At 42.3% G+C, this 9,127-nt stretch overlaps 1 annotated feature.

The window, feature by feature from the left end:
- Positions 7,427-8,363: an enhancer, noted in NCBI's record as "H3K27ac-H3K4me1 hESC enhancer chr5:2780330-2781266 (GRCh37/hg19 assembly coordinates)". NCBI's record gives its function as "activates a minimal SCP1, AML or CMV promoter by ChIP-STARR-seq in naive H9 embryonic stem cells {active_cell/tissue: H9 hESC(naive)}" and the evidence as "EXISTENCE:reporter gene assay evidence [ECO:0000049][PMID:30033119]".

The following is a 9,127-nucleotide window of genomic DNA, read 5'->3' on the forward strand; positions in this document are numbered from 1 at the left end:
CCTGTGAAATGTTTTTTAGCTTACATACATTCTTGATTTTTAACAGTATAATATATTAATAATTTATGGGTTGTAATCTTTTGGTTGATTAAAATCATTTTTTCTAAGTCATGAAATAAAAATATGCATTTTTTTCTTATATCTGTTGGACTTTCACATTAACATTTTAAATTTATTTGGAATTTACTTTTTAATCATGTAAGGTAACATTTATTAAATCAATAGCAAATTTTCTCAAGCCTCTAATTCATCTCCTCTACTGATTACATATCTGAAATGATCCCCCTTTTCCATATTAAAATTCTCCAAATCTGTGTTTCTTATCTAGTCCGTATGTTTCTTTTTCTAATGTTGTTTTTATTTTTATCAGAGTTCTATCCCCTCATATTTTAAGGACTCAGAGAGCCCCACAGAAGCCCCCTGGCTTCCTCTCCCTGGGTTTCTGCTGCCAGGCACCATGTGTCCTCTCCCCCGTCTGTTGGGCTCCATGATCCAGGTGCTCCATGGAGTTCTTCACTTTAGGAAGATGCAGCGTGGATCCTCTCACCCCTGGCCCTTCTTATCCACCCACTCTCCCAATATACTTATACATGTCCTTGGTAAGCTTGGTAGAGTTATATTCCAGTGATATAAACGTCATTCACAGATGTGCAGTACATCCTGAGTTAATAGTGGTTTTGTTTTTCTTTTGCTTGACTAATTCAAACCCAGACCTATCCCCTATGTATCGCCTCTCTTCTCAGCCATTGGACGCATCAGGCATTCCAACAATTCCATCTCCTCTCCTGCTCTGGTCAGGACTGGGAGTCACCGCACCTGCGACATCTCTATCACCCCACACTGTCTGTTCACCCCTGGGTCTCCTTGCACATCTCTCCAAACCCACACATTCCCACCCAGGGGCTCTTTTCTCTCTCCCCTCCCCGCTTCCCTCTCTCATTTTACTGGAGCACATTTTCCCCAACTTCCTGAAGTAGAGGTTACCGGATAGGTATTTTGAGTTTTTAAAGTCTGATGATGTATTTCTATTTACCCTAGAATTTTACTGACACTTCAAAAGGTTTAGAATTCAAGACTGAAAATAATTTTCCTTCTGAATTTTTTAAGTGACTTTTTAATTTTGGAATAATTTAAGACTTGCAGAAAAGTTGCAAAGATTGTACAGAGTTCCGTATCCCCCTTACCCAGGTTCCATCAGTGTCAAAGTAAAACTTTATGGAACAACTGTCACAAGGAAGAAACAAACATTGGTGTGGTACCAGTAGCCACACTCTAGACACGATCTGGATTCCACCCATCCTGTTTCCACATTTGTTGAAATAATTAGAGGCTTTTCTTCTTTTATCCGTAAATGGGTGCATTATGTGAATATATTATTTAATATTAAACTACCTCCCGGGCATGGTGGCTCACGCCTGTAATCTCAGCACTTTGGGGGACCGAGGCGGTTGGATCACCTAAGGTCAGGAGTTTGAGACCAGCCTGGCCAACATGGTGAAACTCCATCTCTACTAAAAATACAAAAAGTAACCGGATGCGGTGGCATGCGCCTGTAGTCCCAGCTACTCGGGAGGCTGAGGCTGGAGAATTGCTTGAACCCGGGAGGCGAAGGTTGCAGTGAGCGGAGATCGTGCCACTGTACTCCAGCCTGGACAACAGAGCGAGACTCCATCTCAAAAATAAATAAATAAATAAATAAATAAATAACTACCCTTATATTACAGAATCAAGTCAATTTGGTCATAATAATTTACCTTTTTGAGAGTACATTTCTAGATTTGATTTGTTAACTTTTATTTAGAAATTTTGCATATATGTTCTTTAGGGAGACTAACCTATGTATTCCTTTCCTCAAATAAATTAAAACGGTTCTCTTAACTTGTTTTCTAGAAGAATTCCTGGACAACCAACATTTTGTGTTCCTTGAATATTTGATAGAACTAGTTTAAAAACCATCTGTTTTTGATGTTTCCTTTTTGGAAATGTTTCCAATTACTGATGTAATTTATTTATTTTTCTTATCTTAACATGATTTTTCTAACCTACCCTTAGCACTTAAAATCTTTTCTCATATTTTATTTTTAATCTTTTTATGTCATTATACTTCAGTTGTATTTACTGCAAACTGCTTTTACTGGATTTTAAAAAATAATTATACTTGAAAAACTTTCACTTTTAACTGGAACGTTTAGGCTGTACACATGTGTTGATTATCTTTGTAGTTTGATTTTTTACTATACATTTGAAAAGCTATTTATATCCGTTGTTTCTATATGTTTTCTCTTTTCTTATCATATTTAGAAACAATTTGATTACCATTTCTCTTTTTCACTAATTGCTTGGAATTTCCATAGTTGATTTTAATTTTTATAATGGTTGACAGATGCATATTTAATTTCAAGCAGTATGAATTAATTAATCCTTTTTAGAAGGATTTTAGAAGCTGGAAACAGTGATAAAACTCTTCTGATTTATATATTTTATAAATATATAAACCTATATAATATTAAATGTATAACAGATTACATTTTAGGTTTTTTAACTGCACAAAATATGTTATTCATGGTGCTTTACACAGTCAGTGTTGGACAAGAGTTACTTACATGTTACTCTTTTTAATTTTATCATCATTCTTTCATCTTTAATACTCTTTGTGGGATCACTTCCTTCCTCTCTGGAGAACATTTTGTAGGAGTTATTGAGGAATGCTTTTCTAGTCTATCAATGCTTTGGTCTTTTTCTAGAAAGATAATTTCACTGGGCATATCATCTAGGTTGACTGTTGTTATTTTTTTTTCCACAGCCCTTTCAAAAGCGATTCTATTGTTTTTCATCTTCATGATCACTTGTGAGAAATCAGTGATCAATCTAACTGTTGTTCATTTGTAGATAAGTTAACTTTTCTCTCTGGCTGCTTTGAAGATCCTCTCTTAGGCTGCTATGTTTTTGCTGATGTTTCAGGTGTAAGTTTTTAAAATGTTTTTCCTGAATCCATTAACCTTCCTGATTCTGAGAAATTATGTCTGTATTCATTTAGGGATCATTTTAACCACTATCTCCTCAATATTGCCCCTCCTCTCATTTTGTGCCCTATGTTTTTGGAAGTTCAAGGAGATGTTCTTTGGAACTGTTCACTTTACCTTACATGCCTCCACCTCTCTGTCATACTTCCTGCCTCTCCCTCCTCAGTGCTCGATTAGCAGTCATTTCTTTTAGGTTTATCTTGCAGGTGATTTTTTATTTGTGTCATATGTACTGTGTAAGCCACTCATTGAGTTTTTTTAGTGTTTTAATTGATGCATGTAATTGTGCATATTTTGGGGGTACACCCAATATTTGATACATGAATATAATGTGTAATTATCCAGTGAGGGCATTTAGGATATCTATCAACTCGAACATTGATCATTTCTTTGTGTTAAGAACATTTCAACTTTTCTCTTCTAGCTATTTTGAAAGACACAATGTATCCTTGTTCCCTATAGCCACGGATGGAGTCCTAAATTGCAGTCATGGACACTATTTGGCTCTGTTTCGAGTCCAGCTGTTCATTTTTTATAGTCTCCTACTCCTTGATTATATTTTGTATTTCCTCTCTTATATATTTAATATATTTGTCTTCCATCTCCTATAATTGTTGTCTCGTGTCTGAATCCATCGAGTTATTTAAATTGAGGGCCTCCTCTTTTAAAAGTGTCTACTTAGCATTTTCCGTGGACTCAAACTAACCTCTTCAAAGAGCAAGGATGAGGTTTCAGAAACTTGACTTTTTAGCACCTGTTACCAAAGTGTGACTTCTGGTTAAATATGGCATCGGGCTTGGGGTCTTTAGAAAACAACGGAAGTGAGAATGAGCGCTCAGAAACATTCTGAGAAAACATTTTTTCCCCAAAGAAAGGAAGTTTGAGGCCATTCGGAACTGAGGAGGACTCTGGCTGTGGCGTTCATAAGAACAGTCTCAGCGCAGAGAAGGCGGAAGACGGAAAACACACAAAACAGCCAGCTGGGAAAGCAGAGGGGAAAAGAAGTCACAAGCCTCTCCAGGAAAGAAAGAGCTTTGGGGATTGCAGGGCTATACTTGGAGAAGGCTCAGTTACAAGCTGGCTGCCTGGAGTGGGGGATTCAGTGGGAGTTTAGGACACAGGAAAGTCAGCACCAGGGCTTTGATGCGGTGATTTCAGAGGAAATTGGAGATTGTTAAGAAACATATCTTTGCAGTGAAGCTTCAGTTTATTAACTTCTGAGAGGAAGACAACGAAACTGTCTGGGCTAACGTTGAGGTGCTGCCTCCTCATGAAGCTGTGTGGGAAGTACCCTGCACCTCGGCCCGGGCGGCTCTGAACCACGGGAGCAGAGCTGGCCTCCTGGGACACTGGCCACTGTGTTGTGACCAACCCTGGGCAACTCGGCAACTCTTATTTTTGGGGTGTTCAATATCCTGTTTGGTCTTCACCACCTGACCAGATCACTGGACCAAGGTAGGCAGCTCTCTGCCCGGGACTGGAGGTATTGAGAGAATCTGACCTCATTTGAAATTTGCCTTATTTTATTTTATTTTATTTTATTTTATTTTATTTTATTTTATTTTATTTTATTTATTTATTTATTTTTGAGACAGAGTTTCACTCTGCCGCCCAGGCCAGAGTGCAGTAGCATGATCTCGGCTCACTGCAATCTCTGCCTCCTGGGTTCAAGTGATTCTCCTTTCTCAGCCTCCCGAGTAGTTGGGATTACAGGCACTCGCCACCATGCCTGGCTAATTTTTTGTATCTTTAGTAGAGACGGGGTTTCACTATGTTGACCAGGCTGGTCTCGAACTCCTGACCTCGTGATCCGCCTGCCTCAGCCTCCCAAAGTGCTGGGATTACAGGCATGAGCAACTGCGCCAGGCCTATTTATTAATTTTTTTGTCTGGTAGTTACCTCGTTTGTTAAATGCATCAAAAGCACTTTCTGAGCACGGTCATGGTCTGAACTGTGATCTACCCAAATTCATATGTGGCAGCCTTAACCCCCAGTACTTTAGAATGGGACTGTATTTGGAAATGGGGCCTTTAAATGGGTGATTAAGTTAAAATGAGGTCCGTAGGGTGGGCTCAGTCCAGCATGACTGTTGTCCTTAGAAGGAGATGATGCCACCAACATGCACAGAAGAACCACCCTGTGAGGACCTTGGAGGACAGAGACACACCTGGAGGGATGACACCTGAGGACACAGGGAGACGAGGGCCGCCCGCAAATCAAGGAGAGAGGCCTCAGGAGGAACCAACCCTGCCGAGTCCTGATCTCAGACTTTTGGACTCCAGGACTGCGAGACAATAAACTACAGATGAAGCCCCAGGCTTTTGTTTTCCTGGGGTTTATTCTCAAGTGGGAATGAGGATGGAAATCACAAATTGAGAAATCACACCAGCATCAGGAACCTCTTATGGCCTCTCCTGAGGGTGACACCAACTTCCGTGGTGTTTGCAATAGTCCCCTGCCCACTAAACTGTATGCCATAACCTAGTGAAGAAAGAATGGTCCACCACACTTCCCAAGTGATTTCTCTCTGGAGGGGTGCTCAGAATATAGATTGGGGTTTTGAAATAGATGAAATTGTTGGCAGAATTCTTGAGAGCAGGGAAGTGGTGGGATGCCAGCCTGCCTGAAAGCACGTGCCCTCGACCACTCCAAGCACGCGGGACGCAGGCTGAGGAAGTCATGGAGAGCCAGGGACTCCCCCACATTTTGTGAAAATTGGGTAAGAAGACAAGGAGATCTAATTTTATTTTTCGGGGAATCTGTCCTTGCGTTCGCAAAAGGAAATTGAAGCCAGAATGAGCAGGGGCACCAGAATGTTCTGTTTATATATTCAGATGTTTACTGCATGCTCACTACGTACAAGGACACTTAGCAGTGTGGAGCAGAAAGAGTTGATGAAACAGTTTCCACCCGCACCCACTGGAAGATTTGGAGAGATCACACTTAGCTAAAGATGCTAATCTTCACCTATCTGTGTAATACAGAGAACGGTGCAGCAGGGAGGGCACAATTTCAGAAGAGGAGCTCCAAGTCCATTACCCACCTCTGAAGGGACGGGGCGCTTGATGCTGAATGGTGAGATTCAGCCAACCCTCCCTGGCTGCATGTACACACATTTGAAGCAGGAGCCTGCATTCACAGCCAGCTCTCATCACCAGTGGTTCTTCTTGGTCTCCTCTCTTTGTCTCCTGAGAATCTGCTGAGGAATGATAACCTTTCCAGGGCTTAGAGTGTGTTTTACACTTTTTATTTCTAAAAGTATGACCCACGTCGAAGAACCTTTGTTTGGCCTGTATCCATTTCCTGTGTGGTTTTTAACAAGCAGTTTCTCACCTATAGCTTGACCACCTTTGCTGTTGGGTGGAGTAACATGGCCTGTGTCTCAATGGCTCATCATCTTCCTCAGTGTGGACTTTCAGGAGGGTGCTCTGGTAGTGGGATGAGCCCCATCACTCCGAGCTCTGCCCCTGCCTTCACACAGCTTTCTCCTCTGGTCTGTGTTTCTCCTCTTCTTAGAATGACACCTGTTACTGGATTTAGGCCCATTCTAACCTGGGCTGATCTTTACCTTATTCACAACTGCAAAGAACCTATTTCCAAATAAGGTTGGATTCACAGGTTCTGGTGATGGTGTCTTTTTTGGGGGTAAAGGAGACCATCCAATCCACTATGCGTGTAGAAAATATAGATGTTGGGAGGAATTCAGCATGAGTGCCGCACCCTAGAAAGGGTATTTGTTGTCGGCGCCCAGCACGGTATAGGAAGAGGCTGAGAGAGTGGCTGCCCTCAGGCTGGTGACTCAGATACAATCTCAGATGGACAAGATGTTCACAGGGCCAAGGAGCAGTGGTGACTTGCTCAACTCAACGGACAGAGCAAGGGAAGGCCCCAGGGGAACTGGTGCTGAGGGAAGCAGCCTCGCAGGTGGGGACCTTGGCAGGTCAGCCTCGTGGGTCTTTTGGACACACAGTCCCCTCGTCTGTTTTCTCTTTGCCTTCCTTTGACTTCAGGTGGTCATTCCTCCCACCTATGGTTTCCAGGGCCCCGTGGTGCCCTGTGGCTACTCAAACTCAAATCTCATCTGTTTCCCTCTCTCCCTCCTCACAGGCCCTTGATGGCAGGGCCATGGCCCCAGCTGTGGAGGGCAAAACTCACCATTTCACTGTTTTTAAGAGTGTGTTGGTCCTGAAAGCATCTGAATCCATTAGCTAGGGCTGCCATAACCAAGGACCACAAAGGAGGCTGTTAAAGGACAGAGGCTTGCTTATCTTCCTCAGTTCTGGATGCTGGAGGCCTGAGATCCAGGTGTGGGCAGGGTCGGTTCCCTGGGAGGCTGTGGGGAGAACCCGCTCCTCCTATGGCCTCTGTGCTCGCCTGTGAACTAATTTCTTCTTACAAAGACAGCAGTCCCATGGGATTAGAGCCCACCCTAAGGACCTCATCTACCCTAATTACCTCTTTAAAGGCTTATCTCCAAATACAGTCCCATTTTAGGTACATTTTAACCATAGGACGTCAACATATGAATTGTAAAAGAGCACAATTCAAGCCAGGGCTGCACCCGTCCAGATGCGCCAGGACCTCGGCAAGCTCACTCTTGTACTTTAGGTCCTTCTCCGCTTGTGCAATGGCCCCAGCTGCCCACTCACTTGGCCTCTCCCTGCTCCCCCGCCCCCAGCCCTCTGCCTCCAACACTGTTGGAATGTGCCCTCGGGTCCCACACACCTCAAATGCAGGTGAGAGGCCTCTAAGCATAACTGGTTCAACCTGTTTCCACTCCAGCCTCTCCACCAGGGGACCAGGGGATGGAATCCCAGCCATTCCAGAGACCAGCTCCAGAAGCCCTGAGTCCTCCTTTGCCCCAGACAGTGGTTGACCAAAGGGGCTCCAGGCCCTGCATCGCAGCCCTGCAGTGGGCACAGGCGCATTGCTGGGGAGCAGGCAGCTTTGGGGGCACAGGTGCAGAGGATGGCCACGCTCTCCCACCCACCAGCTCCCTCTGCTCCTTCCTCGTCTGGAGTCTCCTGGGCTTCAGTGGCTTTGAGGAAGAGCCAGGAAGGGCGTGAGGCAGGTTTACTGTAAGACAAAGGCAAATGGCAGATTAAATACTGGTCACTGCTTTTCCCTGGCCGCCTTCCTCACCCTCCTAGTCCCTGCCTCACCTTTCTGCTCCACCCTCCCTGACTCCTCTCACATCTTAGGAAGACCAGCAAAACCACAATTTTGTGCTAGTTTCTGCCAACAGCCAAACCATCAATCTTGAATTTCTTAAGAAGATTTTATGCTGACGAAGACAGATTCCTCTCTAAGAAAGCCGCTTATGCCAGCTGTTAACTAATACATTTTATGTGACTGAAAAATGCACATATATAAACATTTTCCAAAATAATGAATATTTATAAAATACATAGAGATCCATAAAAAGAGAAGCTTAACTTGCAAAATTATTTCATTATTTTTTAAGTAAAAATTTTGGAGGCTGCAATAATATCATAAATTAACAACAAGGCAGCCCAAAATAGACTACTTGAAAATTAAACGACATTAGCAAAAATAGAAACAGAGCTCAAACTATCTGAAGAATGAATGTGCACGTGTTCATGAACATGGGGAGGAAAAGGAAATTATGTGTTTCTGCTGCCCAGGTAAATTGGTTAAGTATTTCTGCAGGCCATTTTAAAACATGTATCACAATTCAAAAATTTCAAATTTCATAATCTCCGATATAACAATTTACGTTTCCAGAAATTTAAACTATGGAAATACACTGAAATATGTGCTTGAGGGTATTTATTCTTGCATATTTTCAATAGCTTAAAATCAGAAGCTACTTACACACCCACTAGCAGAAAGATTTCCAATAAGTAACAACACATTGATGAATGGAACAGTTAGTAGCTCTTACAAACAGTTGTTCATCCAGATTACATGAACATTAAAATATTTGTTAAGATTTACACTATATGGTTAAGTGTTTAATTTCTGAGCAACAGAATAATGGGAACTAAAATATGCTTATTTTTTCCATAAGATTTTATTATTTTAATTTCCACTATAAGTATGTATCAGTTTATAATTTTAGAAAAAGAGAAGATAGGATAAGT

Source organism: Homo sapiens, chromosome 5 (assembly GCF_000001405.40).
Source record: "Homo sapiens chromosome 5, GRCh38.p14 Primary Assembly".
In the NCBI taxonomy this organism is placed as follows: domain Eukaryota; kingdom Metazoa; phylum Chordata; class Mammalia; order Primates; family Hominidae; genus Homo; species Homo sapiens.